The 26,998-nt window shown below is 37.0% G+C and overlaps 2 long non-coding RNA genes across 2 annotated transcripts in view; one reads left to right on the forward strand and one right to left on the reverse strand.

The window, feature by feature from the left end:
* The window catches only part of LINC01807 (long intergenic non-protein coding RNA 1807), a 128,137-nt gene that overhangs the window by 96,256 nt on the left and 4,883 nt on the right, over positions 1-26,998 (reverse strand). The window lies entirely within an intron of this gene.
* Positions 566-15,780, forward strand: LOC105373921 (uncharacterized). Its single transcript, XR_007088115.1, has 3 exons — positions 566-655; positions 12,839-12,932; positions 15,700-15,780. It is a non-coding gene; the product is annotated as an uncharacterized LOC105373921 (long non-coding RNA).

The following is a 26,998-nucleotide window of genomic DNA, read 5'->3' on the forward strand; positions in this document are numbered from 1 at the left end:
TCATCATTTACATTATTAGACTATTATGGTGACTTATGTAAATCATAAATCATGTTATTTATTGTTCATGTTATTTATTGATCATTTCTGTTTCTCTAATGTTTCTGTTCCCTCTTTCTGAAATTTCTTTAGTTAGTTGCTAGACATACTGGATCCTATAATTATGTCATTATTATTCTGCAATAGCTAGTTGAAATAGCTTTGGCTTTTTGTTTTGCTTTCTGATAATTTTTTATCCTATTTTGCTCTCTTACTCTTCTTCATATGTTATATCTGCTGGACTTTTTAATTGTGTTCTTCTTAATTTGTTTCAGGCTCACCATTCTATTCAATCAGTAAATACTGACTGAGCTACTTCTATATTTAAACACTCTTATAGGTCCTGAACTACTTCAGTGAAGAAAATGAACAGTGTCCACTACTCAATAGAGGTCTCATTCTAGAAGGAGAAATAGAACAAAAAATAAAAAGAGGAAATTATATATGAAATCTCCAGAGTGGAGAAAGTTAGACATTTTAGTCAAGGTCATGAGGAAACACCTCAGTGAGAAGGGATGGAATGTGGCTGTCCAGGCAAGGAGCTTCTTAGGCAATAGAAAATCAGTCCTCTCCTGAACTGCATCTGACTGATAATCTCATATATTGACTTAAAAATGTAAGTATTAAATATGTTTTTAAATGTAAATATGAAATATATTTTTACTCTTCTAGAAGTTGCATTTTATTCTTAACATTTGTTTGCCATTTTGTAGTCTTTTGTGCCTTACTCATGTTTTTATCACCTTTTTAATGTTATAAATATATTAAACATATTTATTTTATATGTTTATGTTGCTTTATATCATTGAATGTTCTATTACTTTTTACTTTTTAAATTTCCCCATTCTCCCCGTTTTTAATTTCTCCATTCTCTCCATTGTCTCGCTCTCTCTCTCTCGTTGAAATTCATATTTCTTGGAAATCAATCCACGAGAATTCTTTTAATTCAGCTTTGAAGCTGAGCTTTTTATTCTTCAGGCACTTTGGGGCACTACCAGTTCAGGACTACTTTAAACTAAAGGCTTGGCTAAAGTCACTTAGGAGCACCTCAGTACTATCAATTCAAAATTCAAATCATCTGAGAAAAACTTTGGTTACAAATTATAAAGGAAAAAAAATCCCTTCAGTCATTCACTAATTGCCGAAGCTCTTAAGAGGTAACCTATGAGGATTTTTGCATGGGATTTTGTTTGTTTGTTAGTTTTGTTTCTTGCAAGCCTCTGATAGGTATTTGCAAGACAGAATGATAAGTGTACGGGTAGGTAGAATGGGGAAGGAGAGGGTTATTTCTAGTTCATTCTTTACCCTGAGGATGTAGCCTAGAAGATGCCTCATATGGACATTTTCTGTCATGCTCATAACTCATGAAACTGTGATAATTGAGGTTCAAATCCATCCGTGTAGCAAATACCCCCAAGATAAAAACTGGTTTCAGTTTTTACTCCCTTCTTTAATTTACTGTGTTCACTTAGCTTTTGGCCTTGCTAATTTGCAAACTCATCAATGCACTTAAAAATATACATTTGAAAATATTTATTCAGCATGTTAATTGTTTCATTTGGGAGTTTCTTCCATACTACTGGAAATAAAAGCTGCTCCTTTTTTAATGCATAAACTGAGTTCACATTGCATCTTTAGATTTTCATAGTATCACGTGTACTATGATATTTTGTCAATGTTCTTATTCACCTTTTAATATATTTACCATCTTTGCTTGATTGAAAATGCCTTTATTTTGCCCTTAGTGTTGGATGAAAGTCAACTGGATACAATAAAATTGTGTAACTGTTTTTGCGCTCAACATTTTGAGATTATTCTTTTATTCCCTTATAGCATTTAGCATGCTGTTGAGAAATAGGCTGGCAGTTAAACTGACATTGCCTAAGTCAGTTTTCTTATTTGACACTTTTTAAGATGGCTTCTTTAGGTTTCATATTTTCAGTCTAGTCATCATGTATCTAATTGTAAATTAGAGTTTGCTTTTAACTTGAAGATTTATTTCTACTACTCTAGAAAATTCTCTACAATGATCTTTCCTTCTATTACCTTTCTGCCATTCTCTTCCACTCTTTTCTTCTAATGCTTGTATTACATAAATGTTGCTTTCTCTTTATCTAGCCTCCTGGTTCTTAATTGTGTTCTCACATTTTTAAAAATGTTGCTTTGCTCTACATTATATGTGAGTAATCTAGTGTTAATTTCCAATTCATTAAATTAATTCATTAATTCACTGAGTCCATTGTAAAACTTTCCTCCTCCTTTTTTTTTTTTTATAATGACTGTATTCTTTTTCTTCTCCCAAGATCCCCTGATTAAGTCTCACTCTTCTTGTTTGTAGTAACAGGAATTGTTGCTTCACTTTAATCCCATAAAGTAAACTCTTGTGGTTGCAGCTGAGAGCTTTCTCTGGCCAAAGGACCATGTTCAGTCCCTATCAGGACAAGCAAAAACTTCTTGGGGTTAACATTCTTGTGAGCAATGCTTATCAATTAGAGATGAAATCTGATGGACAATTACCTCAAACTTCTTGCCCCTCAGGGGGACAACTTTGAGGCATGTTTGCCCACCTCCCAGGAGTCCTCAGCGGTATTGGGCGCCAGGTGAGTGCAGTGATACCTGATCCTTAATGCAGTATCTTTTGGCTTCTAGTCCTCCTGCCTCGCTTCCCCAGTCCTGAATGATAATTTCAAGAATACTCCCATCTTCCAAGTAAGCTGCTTTTACTCAGATTCTGACGTTAAAATCAGTTTTGGGGAAAATCAAACTTCAAGTGTCTTCTTTGTTTATTAGTTTTCATTGTCACACTTCCACTTATCTACTTGGCTAGGTGCAAAAATATTGTATTTAAAGTCCTTGTTTAATTCATAAATTTATAAGATTTATGAATTTTGTTCACAGAAAACTGCTGTCTCAGTTATAGAAGGCTCATTTTAGTAGGAGAGCTTGTTGTGTCCTTGTGTTGCCTTTTTATCCCCTCTCTGCTCAGGTGTACATTCCTTTCTTTTCATCAGTCTGACATCTTTATAGCTGGGACTCATTAGAAAAAGGTTTGATATTTCTATTTCTGGCCCAATATGTTTTACATTTTGTTATATATATATATTTATCTCTTCATGACACCTTCTGAGAGAGTTTCTCAGTGAAGATTTTCAGCTTACCAATTTGTCTTTGTGTCCACTTAAATCTCTATTCCTTGATTGCTTTATCTCAACAATTATTTTATTCAAGTTAAATATTTTCAGTTAGTTCTTCATAACCACCCATTGCTGTTACTCTTATCTTTTTAAAAGTCTTTGTTGTGCTTGTTTTAAATTGTTGTCCTGGCTACTAGGTTCACTTCCTCTGGTGTAGGGTCTTATTTCTTTTACTGTGCATATAATATCTGTATTACTCCATTCTCACGCTGCTATAAGGACATATCCGAGACTGGGTAATTTATAAAGGAAAGAGGTTTAATTGAATCACAGATCTGCAAGGCTGGGGAGGCCTCAAGAAACTTACAACTATGGCAGAAGAAGAAGGAAACACGTCCTTCTTCACATGGTGGCAGGAAGGAGAATGAGTGCCCAGCGAAGGGGGAAGCCCCTTATAAAACCATCAGATCTTGTGAGAACTCACTATCATGGGAGCAGGGTGGGGAAACCCACCCCTGATTCAATTATATCCACCTCTTCCCTCCCACAACATGTGGGGATTATGGGAACTACAATTCAAGGTGAGATTTGGGTGGGGACACAGCCGAACCATATCAACATCCTTTCTCTCTCTCTGTCTGTCTTTCTCTCTTTCTGTCTCTCTTCCCCTGAGCTCATCTTTATTCCCCTGAAACTGCCCTCTACCTGGGCTTGGAATGGCAGCCTTGAAGGAAAACAAAAACTGAGCGTTTGTGAAAATTTGTGGGTCCAGTAGGATGGGCCTTCTTGCTGACTTTATGAACTCTGGGATTCAGCATATACAGCTTTTGTTTTCCTGGGTCTCCTCACCACCTCATTTCCCTGTCCCAGGCATTGCTCTGCTCTGCTCTAGGGATGAGTACCCTCCTGTACCATTGTCTAAGGGGTCTGTAGGGAATCCTCAGGGTGTTACAGAACTATTATCACCTATTCCTCACCTCAGTTCTGACACAAACTCATGTTCTTCTCCTTTTGAACAGCACTGCTGCATTCCAGCTAATAGCACAGCTGCAGCAAAACCTGGGGATCAGAGCCTTAAGATAATGGCTTATTGGGACCAAGAATCTTTTGTGCCCTACTTGCATGCCTGGCCCAGCCCAGCAGCACTTGATAAATTCCCCACACATAGTGGTAGAGATGACAGTTTAGGTGCAGTTCTGCCCCATCCCATTCAGGTGGAAACTTCTGGCCACAGCTCTCCAGGGGCAATGCGACTTAGCCACATCACCCTGATTCTGTCCTCAGTGTATCTCCTCTATTCCCCCAACCTCTCCTCTAGTCCTCCCCCCGACCTCTCTAGGCCACCAAGTTTCCTGTATGTCAGGCTCTATGTGCCTTCAATCTCCCTGGGGTTTTTCACAGCTGGGCTCCAGTTATTGACTTGAACTTCACATTGAGTCCACCTTGCTTGGTAGAAGGAGCTGAAACCCAAGCTGGATTCATCTTGGGAACTGGAAGCCAAATCCCCTCTGGGATAAAAGTACTTAATTAAAAAACCCTGTTGTTTCTTCTCTTGAAAATGATTGGGAATCAAGAATATAAAAGATAATCCAAGCATGAGATTTTATTTATTTTTTAAAGTTACCAAAAATTTATTTCTTAGAATACTTTGTTGAATGACAGTTGGTTAATTTCTTTGTATTTTTTAAAAATTGTCTCATAAGTTAATTAATGATTTTGGAATAAAATGATGGATCATCTTTCACACGTAACTCTATGAAAAAATGACAGATAATTACAAAAAGCTAAATTTAGTATCAATTATCAACAATTCATATGCAAAACCTAGAATATAGTAATAAAATACTGGCACTAAATATAATTTTAAAATCATATTATAAGAAGTTATAATTTAGAGAAAAGAACAAAAATGACTAAATGGCTTTGTTGCCAAAACCTTCTAAATTAAATACAATTTAGAATTTGAGCTTTTGCAAAGCTATAAATGCCACAATGTATGCAATTTTAACCAAACATAGAGATAAGTGAAAGATGAGAATCATGCTCACAAAATATGGTTATGACTTTCTTTGGTGTGACCATTCCCAGCTCTTCTAATGGTTAGAACTTTAAAGAGTATGATTGTCTTGGGAGATGAAAATAAATTTGGGGACCTGAAGTGGTAAATAGGGAAAAGGAAAACAATTACTCTGTAGAAGAAGATTGTGTAAATTACAGATTACAAACAACAAGATAGGAAGAGAGAGGAATTAACACTTTATCCCTTGTCTCTCCCCAACGGCTGGCTCTTCATGTAGGAAGAAGGCATAGAATCTTCCAAATGCCTAAAGTCTAAATTGACTGCCTAAGTATTTACATGTCATTACAATTCTGTTCATGCATCAAATCACTTTGATTGATTTTGAATGGTTCTGATATAATCAGCATTTTTTATTTTTATTTTATTTTTTTATTATACTTTAAGTTTTGCTGGATTAAGAAAATGTGGCACATATACACCATGGAATACTATGCAGCCATAATCAGCATTTTTTAAATGACATCAGTTTACTGGGAAGAACCATCCTTGGGCATGACCAAGTCAGCCCTAGCATGTCCCTCAGTTTGACTACACTCTAGATAGGCTTCCTCCTGCCTCTAGGCCCCTAACCACTTTCCCATCCTGCCCTCAAAGCATCCAGTTGGTCTGAACACAGAGGAGCCTTCCCTCCTTTTTCTTAGGGTATTTACTTTAGAAAACTTATTATGAACTCTTCCTCTGACTTTTTGAAATGAAAATATTTTTAGAAGCTTCTTTCCAGTTTTACAACCCAGGACTGACTCTCTCAAGGACCTGGGAGCCGTCCCTTTGAAATGTAATCATCAAAGAGGCTAGCATCCCTACTGCCCAGTTGCTGTGGAAAGATAGGAGCCTGACCTAGTGGGTGCCTTGCTCCAAGTGCAAAAATTACCCCATCATGAAGATAGGAGAAAGTTTACTTTTCCATTGAGTGAGGGCAAACAGATGGCTTGTGATTCCCCAACCTCAACTCTTCAAAACTCTTGGCCGGGCGTGGTGGCTCACGCCTTGTAATCCCAGCACTTTGGGAGGCCGAGGCAGGCGCATCATCTGAGGTCAGGAGATGGAGACCAGCCTGGCCAACATGGTGAAACTCCGTCTCTGCTAAAAATACAAAAATTAGCCAGGCGTGGTGGCGGGTGCCTGTAATCCCAGCTACTTGGGAGGCTGAGACAGAAGAATTGCTTGAACCCGGGAGGCGGAGGTTGCAGTGAGCCGAGACTGCACCACTGCACTCCAGCCTGGACAACAAGAGTGAAAGTCCTCCTCAAAAAAACCAACCAACCAACAAACCAACAAACAAAAAAACTCTCTCATCATTTGTTTCAGGGAGCTGAACTCGGACTTTAGTGTTGTGGCATCTCTCCTCTATTGCAGTAGTCTTAAACATTTTTTTCCCCTGTTTAACTTTGACCATTTGGCAAACAAATGTTAAGAATAAAATGCAGCTTCTAGAAGAGTAAAAATATATTTAATCTTTACATTTTTAAGTCAGTATGTGAGATTATCAGTAGTTAGATGCAGTTCAAGAAAGGATTGGTTTTCTGTTGCCTAAGAAACTCCTTGCATCGAGAGCCACATTGCTATTTTTCTTTGACAAAGCAGTATTGTGGGAAAATCAAGTTTTCTTCTTTTTCTTTTTTTTTTTTTTGAGATGGAGTTTCACTCTTGTTGCCCAGGCTGGAGTGCAGTGGTGCAATCTCGGCTCACTGCAACCTCCGCCTCCAAATGTTGCTTTTTGCTATACTTAAAAGTTGGAAATTTGATTGTAAAATGTTTAAAACCTTGTTTTATTTGAATTCAGAATTAGGGCAAATAATTATAGTGGTTTATTATTTTTTGTACAGTAAATACGAGACAGACAAGGAATTAGGACATTTGCAATCCTAGATCCTCCGACATTAAATGATCAGGGGGAAGTTATTTAACCTGTTTGGGCCTCAGATTTCTCATTTATAAAATGAGAAGTTTGGACAAACTCACTTCAACTCTAATACTATAAGATTATTTGATTATCTTTTTGTCTTCAAGACTTTTTTGATCCTAATTAAGAAGCAGGCTCTTTCTCAAATCCTGATACAATCATTAGACCACATGGTATATTTAGTTGGTAACAGACTCATCATAATGTGAAAATGTGTGCAGTGCAATGAGCCCATACACCATGAGTAGCTAATGAACACCCCTTAAAACAACATTCCTAAATGAATAACAAAATTGGTGCCAAGAAACACAGATACCTCACCAACACTCCAGCTGTTGATTTTAATCTTAGTTCTATTGCCGCCTAATATTCCAATGATTTCCCTTTCTTACTTGAAATTAATCAACATTTATGAAGAAAAGAATATCAAATTATAATTATAGAAAAAATGGTCTGGCTTCTTAATCTTCCTTCTCCATATTTCATCTCCATTTTCATATAAATCTTTCCAAAATGCTTTTCAATGTCCTTTCATCATCCGTCATTTAGTCAAGTAACTATTATTGACAGAACAAAAGGGTTTTTCCCCTTAAATTGTCACATCATGGTTAAATTATTTATATTTGAAAACATGATGTGTATCAGATGTGTGGAAACATGAAGTTGATTTTTCATATTTATTGGTATTTTCATATGTTAGCGCATGTTGGTCCATGGAGACCACCTGGCGTGACTCTTCTGTGATTCTTCCATTCACAGAGGTCAACACCTTTTTAATAAGGGAATAGCATTCTAGAAGAGATTTATTTAGATATCTCAGATTTATTAAAATGCAGAGTGTGGATTTTATAAATTATTTGATTATAATTTTCTTTTATTGATGAGGATATTGAGAGATTTATTTCACTTGTGCTATTCAATTTGTACTTTGACCATTTAAACTACTTGTTAAAGTTGCTTTGAAGTTACTTTTTTGGTTACTGTTCTAAATACGTTATTAGTGCCTTGATCGTGAGTGATTGATCCAACATTAGTGGAAACCTTAAGTGGAAAATAAAATCTTCTAAGCAGAAATCCTGCTTAGTAGGTCTTCCTTCCTGCTATCCTTTCTCTCAAATAAGAATTTTTATTTTTTGACTCTCAGGTCAAAAGAATTGGATTAATCATAATCCTTGGTTTGCGATCCAATATTGTAATTGTTCATTGAAAAGAGTCATCTTTTAAAAAATATTTCTGCATGTTTAATAATTTAATAAACACCTTAATCCAAAGCAGAAATTGGTATTATCTCACCACTTGGTCTTCCTTCTCATCCCCTGCTTGTTCCTAACAAGCTAAACATACTGAATACTTTCTTCTTCTTCTTTTTTTTTTTTTTTGTTGAGACGGAGTCTCGCTCTGTCGCCCAGGCTGGAGTGCAGTGGCGCGATCTCGGCTCACTGCAAGCTCCGCCTCCTGGGTTCACGCCATTCTCCTGCCTCAGCCTCCTGATTAGCTGGGACTACAGGCGCCCGCCACTGCGCCCGGCTAATTTTTTGTATTTTTAATAGAGACGGGGTTTCACCGTGGTCTCGATCTCCTGACCTCGTGATCCGCCCGCCTCGGCCTCCCAAAGTGCTGGGATTACAGGAGTGAGTCACCGCACCCGGCCTCTTCTTTCCTTCCTTTTTTCTTTGTTCTTCCTGTGCTGTCTTCACTTGCTAATTTTCTATTTTTTTTAGCAGTTTGATTAAGGTATAATTTATATGCCACAAAAGTCACCCACTTAATGTGAACAATTCAATAGTTTTTGCATATTTACAAAGTTGTGCGTCTATAAACGCTATCATTTTTAGAACATTTCATTACCCTAAAAACAAGCCTGGACTCCTTAGCTGTCATTTCTTAATCTCTCCACCTCCTCCTCACTCCCATGCCTCCTAAATCCTAGGAAAATATTATCCTGCTTTCTGTCTCCAGATTTGCCTCTTCTGGACATTTCATTCAATGGAATAATACACCGTGTGGTCCTTTGTGTCTAGCTTCTTTCACTTAGCATGATGTTTTCATGGTTTTTCCACACTGTAGCATACGTCAGTACTTCATTCATTTTATGACTAAAGTATATTTTTTGTATAGATATGCCACATTTTATTTATCCTTCCATCAACTCATGGATATTTGGGTTGTTTGTACTTTCTGGCTCTTCCGAATAATGTGGCTATGAATATTTGTGTACAAGATTTTGTGTGGACTTATGTTTCCACTTATCTTTGGTACGTGTCCAGAAGCAGAATTGTTGGATAATCTGATAACTCTATATTTAGCAGTTTGAAAAGTTACCAGACTGTTTTTCTAAGCAACTGCATTATTTCATATTTCCACCAAAAGTGTATGATGGTTCCAGTTTCTCTACATTCTCACCAACACTTGTTATTATAGGTATTTTTTATGAAAATCATCCAGTTGACATATATGTTATCTCATTGTGGTTTTGATTTACATTTGCTCGATGACTAATAATGTTGAGTATCTTTTCATTTACTAATTTTTTTGACTTAATTTATGCTAGTCTGGTATTTACCTTTACTCACCAATAAAATTTCTCCAGATAAGCACTCCATTGACCTTCATAACTGCTTTTGCCAAATCTAGTGGTAGTTCCTTTTGACTCATCTTACGCAATATCCAAGTAGAATTCCACCACTTTAAATACCTTATATTTCTCAAAACCCTTTCTTCTCTATGCTGCTGGTGTCCGTGCTACTTTCTACTGGTGTACATACTACGTTTCTACTTTCATAGTGTTTCTCCTGCCTTATTGTCCATTTCTACTGAGTCTCCCCATTGACTCTGTGGTCTTTATTGACATGACTTTGTTCTTGCAAATCTCTATGAAATTTACCCTCTAGATGATATTAGATACTAACAGTTCAGTGAACTAAAATACTATCTACATACAGGTAACACCACAAATTATATATCCAGCTTGATATAGAAAATATTACAGTTTATAGCCATTTCTAAGGCAGCATAATCCCCTAATTCTATACTTCCTCAATCGGTCTATCTTCCCGCCTCAATTTCCCAATATCTCTAAATTACAGCATAACTAATTATCGGCCTGGTAAAGCCCCAAGTTTAGAAATTCTTTGTGATTCCTCTCTCAATCCTTAACATCCAATTAATTACCAAGACCTGAATACTTACACTCCCCAAATACTTAAGTACCCCTAATCTTCTCCATCTTAGCTCCCACCACCCCAGTCCAGTCAACTCTCACCTAGTCTATTACAACAGAATCCTAATTGATCTTCACATTTACACTCTCTCTCCTCCCACCCAACCCTTCCAATTCATTCTCCAAGTAGTAGTAAAAGTTGTCTTTAAAATAAGAATTCACTCACGTCACTTCCCTCTCCAGATCTTTTAATGACTTCATAATACATCAGAAAAAACAATTTGAACTCCTTGCCATTGCCTAAAAGATTTTGCATGTTTTGTCCCTTCTCCACCTCTCCAAAGTCATATTGCTCACCTAGTCAAAGCTCACATTGAGCCAACACTGTATTTATTTCAATTGCTTGAAGTGGTCAGCTAGGTATTTCTTAAGGCTTTTGAGTGTGCTGTTGTCTACTTCTGTGTCTTTATCTACTAAGCTGTTTTCTTTTTACTCTTCAGGCTCAACGTAAATACCATCTTTTCAGAGAGGCCTGACCACCCCTATATAAATCAGGACTCTGTTTTTCTCTTTGTCTGCACTCTGATTTTTTTCATAGAATTTGCTATAATTTACAGATGATGTAATTTATTTTTAATTTATTTTTTTCCCCTCCCTTGGCATCATCTCCTGGTGAGAATGTAAGTTGTATTATGGTAGGGATTATGTGTTTCCTATTTCTGTTGTCAACACAGAGCTTGGCATTTAGAAGTTTTATTGCATTTATAAGATTTATTTAGAGGTAAGAAGAGAGAGAATTAGGAAGGGAGAGGGAAGGAACGAGGGAAGGTGGGAGGGAGGAAGGAATAGCTGCTACATTTTATCTATTAGGTTAGAATTTTCTTTGTATTCTTTTCTAATGGAGAAGTTTTTCACTTCCCTTTTGTTAGAAAGAAATCCTTCATGCTTGGAGTCCAAAATGAAACTGTAACATCCCATTAAGCAGAAATATGAACCACTCTTTGTGCCACATCATTAACCATCCCTATGGCAACAGTATGTAGTACGTTTCAATTTTACCAATCCATACCTAATACAATGTGGGTTAAGACAGCTAAAACAAAAGAAGTATATCTGCATCTGGAATTGAAAGCACTAAGTTCCAGCCCCAGTTCTGCCATTCATTAGCTCTATAACCTAGGACAAATCGTCTAACCTCTTTCTGTCCAAACAGCTTATCTGAAAATGAAAATAACATGTCTTTCCTATTCACTTTCAAGATTGTGGTAAAAACGAAATGAAGTAATATACAAAAGGCTTTTATAAACTTGAAGTACTATTTTGAATGTTATATAATTTTTGCTGAAATTAGGGTTAATGTCTTTTTTGTTTTACATTTTACTCTCAGTCCAGTTCTATACATATAAGACATGCTTAATGCTATATCAACTCGCATATTTTGTGTTCTTTATTTCAAGTAGCAGTTTCTATCTCTGTTTATCACTGTAATGATAATATCGGCATATAATCGTAATGGAATTCTGTGCTTTCTTCATATAGTACCTGTTAATGCGGGCATATGTCATATTAAAAGTATTCTATAAATTATAAAATATAATTATCAACCTATCAACCATAGAAATTTACGTTGTTAAAATTAAAACAGAAAATGTTTAAATAATAACTAAGAGATCTAAGCAATGAGTTCCCTGTTTAATTAAATACAATTTGGAATTCAAATAAAAAGATACAAGCAAATAGCATATTTCTTTTTAACTTTTATGACAATGATGAGAACTTTGCACTTATTAAACAGACCATTAGGAACCTATACTTATATCAGGGATCCAAGACAACACCATAGTGTTCTCCAAGGTTAACTGAGATTTATGTAATGATCCAGTTAATTTCTTTGACATAACTATCTCAAAGCAAACTTTCATGTTGACATCTGAGCCTTCTAAATGACTTTCTAACTGTATGAAAAATCCAGTCAGGCTACACCCATGTCCCTACTGCCCTTCTTTGTAAACAGGCTGTTTTGGTAAAGTAAAAAGCTACATTCTTTTTAGGCATGATGGTATGGCTTAGACTTCTCAAAACTTGCTTTAAAAATATGTTAATTAATATTCAACATATATATTCAGAAGAGGGTTTTTTGCTACCACACATCGAGTTAAATTATACCCAAATTGCCCATTTGGATATAAATGTTGTTGTCATTTTCATCAAGGGTATATCAGGTAGTTCTCTTTTTCACATACAATTGTAGTAATCCAATTACTAGGATAATGACTTTGCAGGACTGATTGATTGCAAACTGGAACACAGTTTTTCTCTTTGTAAATATAATTGTTTTACTGTAACAGGCTTGAAAGTCTTTTGCATCATGAAAGGATCTCAATTCTCCATTCCATGTGCAAGCAGCACACAGAAGCCTAAAGCAGGCTGAGTCAAAGATTCAGCAGCTACATGGAGTAAAACATAAATTCACTGTGATGTTGTATTAAAGGTGGTTAATATGAAATACTCTTCTATCCTAGGTGCAGTATATAGATTAAGAAATGTAAGAGTTTATAGTCTTCGAATCAGTGTACCTAGAATTTCCTTGCTCCACCACTCATGTTGGGAAAATTAGTAAGTTCTCTATGCTTTCCTTTCCTCTTTTGTAGAAGATGAGTAATGGTAAAAATTACCTCACAAGATGCATGAGCATTAAACATGAGATAATACATGCAAAGTGCCTGGTAGAGAAGTGAGCAAGCACTTAATTTCACCATTGAATCAAATTCTAATTTGTGAATTTCATTCAGTTGCTTCTATGCCACCTTTGAAAAAGCCTGAAAACCAGTCAGTTTTGGTAACCTAATATGCCCCAATTTCTTTACGGGTAGAAGGGATCCAAGATAGATCATAGGCAAAATTGTGGGCTATGACACAATTTTCTTTTGCAATTTTCTCTCTTTTTTTTTGGTTCTATGAACTTCCATCCTGCCAGGTGTCTGCTGAAAGTCATTTCTCCAAAAATAATTTTTGTTGTTTGCCAACATTGGGCAAAACATTGTACCAGAGTTTTAAAAAGAGAATAAAATATGTCCTCTTTTCTCAAGAAATTGACAACGTAATAGGAAAGAAAGGATATTGGTTAAGTTTATGAAACATAAATAGGAATAAATAAATTATAGTGGAAGACAGTAGAGAAGATATCACCATATAAGCATGATTGATATTCAAAGTCCCTTTTCATTTGATCCTTCTGTTAATTTAGATCAAAAGGAATTTGTCTATACTACGTAATCTGAGTTTCCACAAAAATGCCTATTATGACATTTTTTAATTAAAGTGATCTCGTAGACACTTCTTTGGAGTCCCTAAAACTCATGGAGCATTGACTGGAAACCAGTATGGAGAGGAAGCATGGTGTTTCCTCTTATAAGCACTGTCTTACTCAATTCTAGAATGAATGCTTTGCGACCCATTAGGAGACAAAGCTAGATCCCCTCAAGACTAGTGCATGTTTATTAAATAAAAGACAGTGCCTAGACATAGTTGGGTGCTCAAAAAGTGTATATTTAATTAAACACCAGACAAACCTTCTGATAGTTAATTTTATGTGTCAACTTAAATGGGTCACAGGATGCCCAGATGGGTGGTTAAATATTTCTGTGTATAGACGTGAGGGTGGTTCCAGAAGACCCTAGCATTGGACTTGATGGATGAGTAAAGCAGATGCTTCTCCACAAAGTGGATGGTCATCATCCAATCTGTTGAGGGCCTGAAGAGAGCAAGAAGGCACAGGAAGGTTGCATTAACTCTGCCTGATTTATTCAGAGCATCAACCTTCTCCTGCCTTCAGCATTTCTGGTTCCTGGGCCTTCAGACCCAGACAGAAGTCTATATAGTACTGATGGGCTGGCTCTCAGAGATTTGAACTATACCACTGGCTTTCCAGGGTCTCCAGCTTACAGACTGTGGGACTCTCTGCCTCTATTATCCCCAGAGTCAGTACTTTATAATTAAAACACACACACACACACACAGACACACAGACACACACACACACACACACACACACAATCTCCCGTTGGCTCTTTCTCTGGAGATCTCTGATGAATACAAACTCCCTTTGTTGTAATTCCCTGTACTAGCACAAAAGAGAAAGAAAATAGAAATACAATAACTTGATCAGTAAGGCACTTAATAAAATGTGAAATTTTTCTAATTGACTCTGGAGAAATAAAGGCTGGAGAGAAGTTGAGATAGGGGAATTTGTCGTTGGTGAAAAAATGTAGCTGAAGATTTTCAGTTAACAAGTTGGCAATCAACTTTAAGAAAGCCTCTAGTGAGCTCACAGCATTCTGCCCTTTGTCATTTTCTTTTAGTGGTTTATGACCCTCTTACAAATAAAGGAGACACTTAGGAAATGTGTGGCTGATTTCAAACTTGAGATAGGACAATAATTCATGGCGTAGCAGAATAAATATCCAAAACATTCTCAACAGGCTGGACTACAAGTCAGCATTTGTCACATGAAATTGAATAAGAATAGATTTAAAATTATTCATTGCAGTTCTCACTTTGAACTCTATAAATATGGAACTGAAGGAAGACAGTGTCTGTCTTAAAGTAATTAGTGTAAAAAGAACCTAAGGGTTTTGACTGACAGTAAGATTAATATGAAAAGACTGTGATGTGGCTGGCAGAAATGTTAATGGTTTCTTAGATTATATAAATAGAAACTTAGAGTCTAGGTAATGTGTGGCACATCAGAATCTCTTTGGATACTTTCTAAAATGCAGGTTCGTAGGTCCCATCCCACATCTACTGAATTATCCAAGGTCTGGGTGTTGTGCCCTGGAATCTGTCTTTAACAGTCTCCTGAGGTTACTTTGATGCTGAGATCCACCTCAGCGGATTAGTGTGGATAATAATGGAATAAGAAAAATAAAAACACAATGTCCTCACAGAGTATAAATGCTCAATAAACCATAATTTTAAGTATTCTTTAGGGCCATTTTTATTAGTTATATTGACACTTTTGTAAAATTCTTTATCCGGATCTAACTTTCTGTTAATCTTACAAGGGTGGCCTTTCCTGCCTGCCTTCCAGTCTTGTAACTTTCCTAAATGTGTCCTTTCTGCTTTCAACATATGCTAATTAGGACCTATTCTGTGTAAGATATTATCCTTGGCCATGCAGAGATTTTTTAGATGCCCTCAGTCAATATATCCACCAAGTATGGGAGTTTTGACCTGTATATAATTAACTATAAGAGAACTGAAGTGCCCTAGGGCCTGAGCAAACTTTCTGGAATTGCCTGTACCCTAGCAGTGCTGTGAAAATACACGATGCAGTAAGATGCAGCACAGAAATAAGCATTCATCTTCTGCTTTCTCTTAACAGAGGGCACTTTCTTCAACTAGGAGACCTTTGCCAGAGCATGTGAAGACCTTCTTGGCAAACACCAGCCATGCTCACTTCTCACCATCCCCCAGTGCCACCTACTCTCTGCTCAACACTCTCCATGCCCCTCCCAGAGCCATTGATCCCGTTCCACCAGAAGATCACATCTTAGAAATGCCCCAGACATCGTTGGACATTTCTTCATGCTTCATGAGCTTCAAAATCTTTTAAAAATTTAATGCGCTTATGAATCTCTAACAAGCTCCTAAATAACTTGTATGCTATTGTTAAAAAACTCCAAATATTAATAAGTATTAGTAAAATGTTGCTGTTAATAGTAAATCAGCTAAGCGTCAAAATGCTACCTGGAAAAGCAAGCAGAATAGACATTCCAATGTTAAAGGGCATCAAGAGCAAGACTCTTAAAGAGCCTATGAAATCATTTAAGTGTGAGATAAAAAGGTTGGGAATTTCATACATATTTAGCATTGCCTGAGAAATGTCTCTAAGTTTTTCTTTTTTCACTCTAGAATATTACCAAAGTTGCAGTTAATTACATTTCTGCTGCTACAAAAACATTTTTTCATGCCTCAGTGATTCATGAATCTTCCATTGTGTGTATTAGGCAGCAGCTCTTGTAGACAATGACAGAGAATAAAATGCTTCCAGAGGAAACACGATTCAGGTGTCTGTTTTTGGGTTATGCGGTGTCAGATTGGTCCCATTGTGCTTCAGAGAGCATTTGTTATTTTGTGATATGGCTACAGACAGGTTTAAGATCCAGATCATCATCTTACTTCAAAGAGTGTGAATAAATGATTCAAGAAAGAAAAATAAGAATGGAGTATTTGGATAACAATATATTCTCAATTTAAAACGGTTTATGAAGGGAACAAACATACCATGCAAATGAGAAGCAGTTTTAGAAGGGGAAGTGTTGTGCTTCATCACAACTAATTATTACTTGAATATTTATTAGTAGTATGAGAAACTAAATGTCTATGGCCATACCACCCTGAACGTGCCGGATCTCATCTGAAAAGGAAAAAATAGCTTCTACTTTCAATGGTGAGATATAAACAAAAGTTCTCTTTCATTACGCTTAACAAAAAATGTGCATCTTTAAATTTTTTTTTTTTTTTTTGAGATGGAGTCATGCCCTGTCACCCAGGCTGGAGTGTAGTGGCCCGATCTCAGCTCACTGCAAGCTCTGCCTCCCAGGTTCATGTGATTCTCCTGCCTCAACCTCCCCAGTAGCTGGGACTACAAATGCACACCACCATGCCCTGTTAATTTTTTTTTCTTTGTATTTTTAGTAGAGACAGGGTTTCACCATGTTGGCCAGGCTGGTCTTGAACTCCTGACCTCAGGTAATCCACCCACCTCGGCCTCCCAAAGTGTTGGGATTACAGATGTGAGCCACCATGCCCAGCCTGAAATATTTTGTTTCGATAAAAAATATAAATGTATTTTGAGTAAAAGACCACCATGACAAAAGGAAGTCATGGACTTGACTAAGAAAGACCAAATGAGCAAACTGTGTGCTCTAGATATCATCTATCCCTGAGAGTATCAGAAATAAAATCATAATGATGGCACCATGGCTTCAAATAATGGACTAGTAATGTTTCCAACTCAGGATAATAAATGCTCCATTCAGAATTATCTTTTAAAACTCAGCCAGTAGTAATCACTGCACATACTTTGTTACATACTACTTATAAAAAGATGGTGCCTTTTTATCTCTGAATCTCAGGAATATTGCCCAGTTCCCAGTACCTCGACAGTTTTTAATAAATATTTGTCTCATAGTGCATGATTGCAGAATGTCTGAAATTCTAAGAGTTACAGAAAAATACAAATGACATAGGGAAGAGGTTGGTAAACTTTTTCTGTAAAGAGATAGTAAATATTTCAGGCTTTGTAGGTCGTATAACCTCTCATACACAATTATGTCATTGTAGAGAAATCAGCCATAAACAAGTAAATGAATGGGTGTGACTGTAGTCCAATAGAAATTTCTTTACAAAATCAAGATGTAAATGGTAGGTTGTAGTTTACTGACCCTAAATAGAACAAACTTGGTCATTGTCCTCAGGAAGGTGTGGTAAGTGAAGGAAATAGGAAAACAAATATCAAAAACTCTGGAAAGGGTTTTTTCTCCAACTAGGATGGAGTAGGTGGAATTCAGCTCATAGTCCTACTGAATGAAAGTCCATAGTTTACATTACGGTTTACTCTGTTGTACATTCTGTGGGTTTTGATAAATGCATAATGTGTATCCATCATTGTGCTATCATATAGAATAGTTTAACTACCCTAAAAATTCCCTGTGTTTCATCCACCTAGTTTTTGTTTCCCATTTGCATGATAGATCTTTCTAGAACCCTTTACTTTTTGTGGGTGTCATTACATGTGAGATGGGACTCGAACACCACAGAAGGATGGCTTTTTTTTTTTTTAAATCCAATTGGCTATTTTATACCTTTTAAGTATAGGATTTAGGCCATTTATATTCAAGGCTAATGTTGAATTAGCCACCAATCACCATAAGCTAAGTGAGAGAGTTCTCTCTGTTAGTCCATTCTCATATGGCTATAAAGAAGTACATGAGCCTGGGGCCGGGCGCAGCGGCTCACGCCTGTAATCCCAGCACTTTGGGAGGCCGAGACAGGTGGATCATGAGGTCAGGAGATCGAGACCATCCTGGCTAACACAGTGAAACCCCGTCTCTACTAAAAATACAAAAAAATAGCTGGGCGTGGTGGCGGGTGCCTGTAGTCCCAGCTACTTGGGAAGCTGAGGCAGGAGAATGGCATGAGCCCGGGAGGTGGAGGTTGCAGTAAGCTGAGATTGTGCCACTGCACTCCAGGCTGGGTGACAGAGCGAGACTCGTCTCAAAAAAAAAAAAAAAAAAACTACACGAGATACGGTAATTTGTGAAGAAAAGAGGTTTAATTAACTCACAGTTCTGTAGGCTATACAGGAAGCACGGCTGGGAGGTTTTTTCTCCAACTAGGATGAAAAGGGTTTTTTTCTCCAACTAGGATGGAGTAGGTGGTATTCAGCTCATAGTCCTACTGAAAGAAACTGAAAGCTGTATTGAGAAACAAGAACAAACCCCCCTGCTGTTTGAAAAGACTGGAAAGCAGCAAGTGCAGCCAGCACTTGGGGTACAAAACCCAGAGTGGGGGAAATTCATCCAGGTCAGCTGTAGGTTCCTATTAGTCTCTCCTTGTGGTGTTAGACAACTAAACAGTAGGCAATGTCCTAAGACAAGGCTACCAAAGTGTGGTGCAAAGGGCCTCTGTAAACTGTTTACACCAATATGTATTATTGAGATAATTATGACATGTGACAAATTTAGAAATATTTATAATAATTTAACAGAGCAATTTTGGGTGCATTTTATCTAGTAATTTTAAAAGCAAGCATATTTTTATGTCCTTTATGTCTTTTATTTAGTAAATCTTTTCAGTAATTCATACTTGCTGTATTTTATGGAAGTGCTATGTAAGGACAAACAAGGCTTTTTTTAAATTTTTTTTAATTTTTTTATTTAATTTTTTTTTTTTGAGACGGAGTCTTGCTGTGTTGCCCAGGATGGAGTGCAGTGGCACAGTCTCGGCTCACTGCAACCTCTGCCTCCCGGGTTCACGCCATTCTCTTGCCTCAGCCTCCCCAGTAGCTGGGACCATAGGTGCCCACCACCACACCCGGCTAATTTTTTGTATTTTTAGTAGAGACGGGATTTCACCATGTTAGCCAGGATGGTCTCGATTTTCTGATCTCGTGATCTGCCCGCCTCGGCCTCCCAAAGTGCTGGGATTACAGGCATGAGCCACAGCGCCCGACCACAAGACATTTTTTACTAGTAAAATTTGAGATGAACCAGCCTAGACTGTACAGCGATCTTAATGGAGAAAGGAAACAAAGTGGAGCTCAGAGCCACAAGGAAACCAGGATGGGAGGGTCCAGGGTCCCAGAGAACTAAAAGAACTAAGTCCAGTATTCTGTATAAAATGTACCCTTAAATTTGCCAGACCCTCAACTGCAAAAACCCGGAGTGAGAGGCTGAGAAACCAAGCAGAAAACGACAGCTTAGAAACCAAAAATGCAAAAAAGGAAACTGGCATTTTCACATTGGAGATAAAAGTCAGAGCTCTAGACCTGACAAGGAGGAGAAGATCCTGGTAAGCACTGCAAACTTTCATTAGAGACCCAAAGAATAAAGGCAAACAGGAAACATAGAGAAACAGCCGACAAGAGAACAGGAAGTGAGCCAAATCTCCCGCACAATTCACTTTCAGAACCCTTCCTGCAAGGGAAGCTGGGAAGTGTGGACTTTATCTTGCTAACCTCTCCTACTAGAAGGAAGTAGTAGGACAATAAGAACAATAAAAAGCATCGATAAAAAGAACAATAAAAAGCATCAATAAAAGTAGTTTGCATTTTAAAAAGTTAAACAAAGTCGATAAAACTTCAGTGACAGAAACTGAGAAAAAAAGAAGGAAATCCAAATAAGTAAAATCAGACATAAAAAAAGAGACATTACGACTGATACTGCAGATATTCAATAGCTCATTAGCAGCTACTATGAGCAACTACTTGCCAGTACACTGGAAAATCTCAAGGAAATTGTTATATTCTTAGACATGTACAACCTACACAGCCAGATCTTGTGAGAACTCACTCATGAGACAGCACTAGGGGAATGGTGCTAAACTATTAGAAGCCACCCCCATGATCCAATCACCTCCCACCAGGTCCCACCTCCAACACTTGGGCTCACAATTCAGCATGAGATTTAGGTGGGGACGCAGAGCTAAACCACATCACTCCCTTAGAAGTCTCAGAAGGAATCAACTCTGATGACACTTTGATCTTGAACTTCTAGCTCTCAGAACTGTGAGACAATAAATTTCTCCTGTTTAAGTCACTCAGTTGTGGTACTTTGTTATGACAGCTCTAGCAAACTACTATAGTGGGAGCAAACAAAAACTACTATAGTGGGAGTGAATAAAGTCATTTTCCTTTCTAATATTTTGTTCCTGGAACTCTATACTATGGTTAAGGGAGGAACAACATCATATATTGGCTGCTGGTTTAGTACATTTACTGCAGCTTCTACAACCATACTTGACTCTCATGATACATTTTCTCCCATATGATGTTGATTACTTAGTAGATCATTCCTCCATATTATATGAGTAACTGCTTCTGGAGGACGGCATGCATATTAAGATCAGTGAGTCACATAGACATGACTCTCTTGCCTCTTGAACTCCTTGGTCTGAGGTAATATTGCATGGAATATTGTGATGGTGAATAAGCATTTAATGACTCTACAAATGACGGTTCTGAACAGAGCATTATAGGAATAGATAGAGGCCAATCTATGTGAAAAATAATTGTTTGGCCTAAAGAGGGGGAAAAGGTTTCCATGTAATCAATTTTCTGTTAGGTGAATGGCTGTTGCCCTGGAGTATCACACCTTTTTAGGGTCTCAATATTGGTCTGTATATTGGAGACTGAAAAGTCAGCAGTTGTGTTAACCAGACCAACCTCGGTTAAGCAGATAGTGGAACTCATATGGCACCACCACACCTGCCAATATGTCCCTCTAAGAAAACACTGGCATGACTGGGGAAAGAAGCTCACTGACATACAGAGAGTAGTGCACCTATTCTGAGTACTGAGTACTAAGTATCTTCAGAGTGTACATTAGAGACAAAAATTCTAACAACACAAATTGCTTTGACTCTGCTGTCATTCTGAGAAGCCTATTTACATGCCACTTCCCCAGACCTTGTTGTCAGTAACCTTGTTTCTTCCAAACATCCAACCATCTTGCCAAGCCATCAGCTTCTAATTAATTGCTATAGATCTACGTATCTAGATATTTTTCTTTCCCAGAAATAAAAGGAAAAACAAAATGAACTTCTTGTAGGTTTCCTCAATGGGAGGACTATTTTCTCCACTGAACTTTAGGGCCACCCCTAAGTCTGACAATATTGTTTTAGAACTCCATTTCCAGGTGGAATAGGATATTTTGTTAAATCATGTTTTTCAGGATTTAATTTTTTCTTCCTCAGTCTACAGTCCTAGTAAATGCCTCAGTGGCATAGGTGTGGGTGGAGGAAGAAGTGGCAATATATCCAGAGTCAATACTGCGAGTCATTAGCTCGTGCAACTTGTTTATTCCTCCAGAACCCACTAGAGCTCACTCACTTATTTTAGCTGTTCTACTTGATAATGGAGGGCTTATGAACACACCAAAATTGACAGCTTGGGGAATCGGATAACAATCATCCCATAATAAGCATCTTAGGTCACATGGCCACTTGATGCACCTAATTAGTGGTACGTCTTGTGCATCCAGAAAACTAGCTCAAGAGAGTCTAGGAAATGTCATTTAGGCCTTTGAAGCTTGGCAGCAAGAAGGAAGGTTGAATGTTATACTGATGTTCTGTTTGACATATGTTGTCTTTAGGTTTGTACTTCTGCAATTCTACCTTACAAACTATTGTCAGAGTAAACTATTTAAAGTACAAGTATGACCACACCATTCATGGTTCCCTATAAGTTACAAACAAAAGTTCTATAGCATGGCATACTGTTTTTAAATGGCATGAACCCAGGATCCCTCTCTAGTCTCATCTATTACTGCAAACACTCTTTACATTCCAGATAAAACAACTCAGACTTATTTAGGGCTTACAGTATATTGGGCATTATTCTAAATTGTTTGCATATATTACATTGTTTAATGTTTAGAACATTTTGAGATGGTGCAATGGTCAATTTTATGTGTCAAGTTAGCTGGGCCATGGTGTCAAATATGATTCTGGACGTTTCTGTGAGTGTGTTTCCTTGGATGAGATTAACATTGAAATTGATGGGCTTTGAGTAAAGCAGATGGCCTTTGGTCTTGAATTCCAACATCAGCTCTTCCCTTAATCCTTAGACTGCTGGCCTATCCTACAGAATTTGGACTTAGCCTCCATAACTGCATGAGCCATTTCCTTTAAATACATCTCTCTATATTCACATTATCTTGCTTCTGTTTCTTTAAGAATGCTGACCAATATAGGCAGATAATAATGTTAGTATTCCCATTTTTTAACATGGGAAGATTTAACCTCAGGGTTACCAAGCTAGTAAATATTAGGCCTGCTATGGATATATAAACAGTCTGGTTCCAGAGTCCATGCACTTAATTATCATCATCTGCTGACTGTCATTATAAAATAGTGTTGAGTTCCAGTTTCCTGTACACGTCATGTAAACTCAAGTTTTCATGCCATTCATCATGCTGCTCCTTCTTCCTGAAAGACACTCCTACTCATCCTGCAATATCCACCTTAGTCTTTATTTCTTCCAGGCATAAATCACTGCTCTCTGCATCACTCACGATGGGGCTAAGTGCCCCATATAGAGCTTAGACAGTGGTTAACACCTAAACAAAAAAAAAGCTCAAGAAATGATTTTTGAGTTGAATTAGATTTGTGATAAATTATCCATGAAGTTAGTAATTTAGTAAAATATAATGATTTACCTTACTTATTATATTTTGACAGCTAGATTTTATTTTATATATTTGAAAGGTAGTTAACCACATGGCAAGAATGCTGCTAAGACATTAAGACCATCATCCTTATAGGAAATACTGCACAAGAGACTAGATACTCACTTTAACTAAAACCTAAAATCATTTCTGAACTTTAAATTATTGTTAACATATGTGTAAGCAACTAAGACTAATTAAATATATCTAAGATTAAAAATATTTTTATATACTTCTAATAAGTTTCTTTATATTTTATCAAAAGTGAGAGTTCAAAAATATAGTAGACTTTTCAAACATGACCATCAGATAGTGGAGCTAAGTTCCCAGAAGGCAGAAGTGAAAATTGGAGAGAAAATGAATGAATGGGTTGCTCTCAGAAAGCATAAACAGTCACATACCCCACTCCTGGAGTAGGGAGTCAGGTGCATGTTTCCAGACGGATTTCAGAATTAGTAAAGACCACTGACTATCTACTTCTCACAACTCTCTTTGTACAGTGAGCATTGGGAAGTTGGGGGGAAAGATAAATGTATTTTATTTATAGATGTAGACGAATAGCTATACCTGAGGAGCTTTATTACATTAAGATCTGATTAAGATCACAAGGATTTGGAAGGTGAGACTTATACTAAAATTGAAATAAGACTTTAGTGGAAAACTATGGTACATCTGACATGATAGAAAGATGTGAATTATTGTAGTAAGAGGGTAGACTCTGGAAAATTGCTTTCAAATGAGCATAACAATTTTTCCCATCCCTGTATACAAACCCTTTGCCATGTGACTTTGTCATATCTTCCATTCAGAGGTGGAGTCTATTTCCCCACTCCTTTAAATATGGGATGGTCTTATGACTTGCATTAACCATTAGAATGTAGTGGAGTGATGTGTGTGCAACTCTTAAGGCTAGTCCTTAAGAGGCCTCATTGATTCCACTTTCACTGTTCTGGAATCCTGACTCTTCTGTGCTTTCTTGCCTACTGGAGGATGACAGCATCACCAGGCTGTCTCAATTGGCAGTGGGCACCAATGCCCGACCATGTGAGTGACATCATTTTGGACACTGAACCCTAGGCAAGTCATTAGATGACAGGGAGTGCATGAATATTCCCAGGAGATAGCAGCAGATGAATTGCCCAATCTACTGCCCTCTTCTACCTCCCAAATTGTGAGAGATAATAGATCATTGCTGTTTCAAGTCCACAGGGACTTGAAACAGCAATGATATGTTATTATTTCGGATTGTCACGTGATATTAGAAAATTGAAAAAAAAAAGAATGTTTACCTAAATTTAAAAAATAAGTGGATAAATTTGTCATACCTCTGGGTGATTTGATACAATTAAGAACTACTGGCCTGGTATGGTAGCTCAGGCCTGTAATCCCAGCACTTTGGGAGGCTAAGGCAGGTGGATCACCTGCAGTCAGGAGTTCAAGACCAGCCTGATCAACATGGTGAAATCCCATCTCTACAAAAAATACAAGAATTAGCTGAGTGGGGTGGCACGCACCTGTAATCCTAGTTACTCAGGAGGCCAAGGCAGGAGAATCGCTTGAACCCAGGAGGCTGAGGTTGCAGTAAACTGAGATCATGCCATTGCACTCCAGCTTGGACAACAAGAGTGAAACTTCATCAAGAAATAAAAATAAGTAAATAAATAAGCTACTGGTGACCATTTCGCACCAATATTTAGTAACTGGACAAATGAAGTACTCAGTAAATATCTGTTAAATAAGTAAATCAATGTAGGAAATTTTAGTTTTTAAATAATCAACTTAAATTTCATTAGTAAGAATTTTATTTATTAGAATCATATTAATGCTTATTTCTTCTAATTAAGCATCACAGTATATCAATTTATTATTTTATGTGTTTTTCTTGAATTTTTTTTCACTTCTCGGTGAGCCAAAATGCAAAAGTGACAGTGAAAAAGGGGATAAAAGCTAATAAAGGTTATAATCATAGTTTTAATGACATAATGAGTTAATAGGTAATAAAATATCTCAGAGATTTTTTATAAGCCCCAAATGTCTTTTCACCTAAATGAGAGGATTATAAATAAATACTGGGGAGCTGGTTTGTTGCAGTATAATTAGCATGGGATTTAAAATAAAGACCTGATTCAACTTTTAGTGGGGCTGGTGATAAACATCTCAATGGATTGTTGCATATTGTAAACACCAAAGTGCTCTAAAATGCTGTTTTATCGATTCTTACTGTAGAAAGCTCTTTGATTAAATTATGACATTTAGCATTTTACCTAAGGTGGCTTAATTTAATGGGAAAAAATATAGCCCTTATGACATTTAATGTGGATTGGCACACACACATACCCACTCTCTAACCCCCTTCTGGATTGTGTTTCTCAACTCATGAGCCTGGAAAGCTAAAAGCTATCCTTCTTAGAGTTTTTTTCAGCTGGGTATGGCTACATAATTCAGTTCTGTACAATGAATGACACACAAGCACAAGTATAGAAGTGCCATCTTCCTTCCTGTCTAGAATGCGGATGTGATGGTAGGATCTGCAATAGTTACCATGGATCTATGGGAGAAAGTGAAAAGGAGTGAAGAGGGTTCCGTTCTTAACCTGTTCTCCTACCACTGAATTTACTGTTGTATGAGAAAAAGAATGTCTCTAAATCTTTTAATTCACAAATTAATTGGGCTCTCCCTTGCAGCTGAATGCAATCCCTAACTGAGACATTCTTTGGTGTGGAATGGATAAAATTTCATTTTATCACTCACCAGTTGTGTGACATGATCAAAAACAACTTGTGGGACAGGGACTGGTGAGGGAGGTATCCACCTGAGGGTGTGATCCAAGGACTAATGTGTTAAGCACCTAACAGTCTTTCTGGCATATAGTAGGCCATGGATAGTGAAAATAACACACAGGTTATTTCCCTTCTCTTGTAGCTAGAAGTTGTTTGTTAATATATTATATAATTATTTACCCATGAACGTACAAATTATTTTAAAGACAACTCCTCAGGCAATTCCTCATAGTCACAACACAAAATAAAACCTGTTGATCATATTAGGCACTAAACAAATGCCAACACTCTCTCCTTTCTGCTGTGTGCATAAGAACACCTCCTAGAAAAATGAACTGAAAAATTTTTTTAATTATTAATTACAATTTGAAACTGAAAGAAAGTTTGACACTGAAAGCATTATTTAAATATTATCAGTTTAAAATGTACTATAACTACTGGAAATGTGTATTCATGTTCAATAATTTTATTTTGAAATAAATATAGCAATTACTATTCCATATAACAATGACTATGAAATAAATATGTCAATAACCATAATGCTGAATAGTTTTTGAATACTTACATTGTATCACATTTTGAATATTTAGCTGCTTTCCATCAAGAAATAACATAAGTCAAAGAAAATTCTTACCATAAAACTGGCTTGTAAAAATATATATTTTCTTTTTTCTTTTATAAGAAAAATTCCAAATAACATGAACACTGAAATCCTTTTAAATACGTTATATTACAGTATTTTATTTATTTATTTTTATTTATTTTATTTTTTAAATTTTATTATTATTATACTTTAAGTTTTAGGGTACATGTGCACAATGTGCAGGTTAGTTACATATGTATACATGTGCCATGCTGGTGTGCTGCACCCATTAACTCGTCATTTAGCATTAGGTATATCTCTTAATGCTATCCCTCCCCCCTCCCCCCTCCCCCTACACCACCATCATGC

The sequence above is a fragment of the Homo sapiens genome, chromosome 2 (assembly GCF_000001405.40).
Source record: "Homo sapiens chromosome 2, GRCh38.p14 Primary Assembly".
In the NCBI taxonomy this organism is placed as follows: domain Eukaryota; kingdom Metazoa; phylum Chordata; class Mammalia; order Primates; family Hominidae; genus Homo; species Homo sapiens.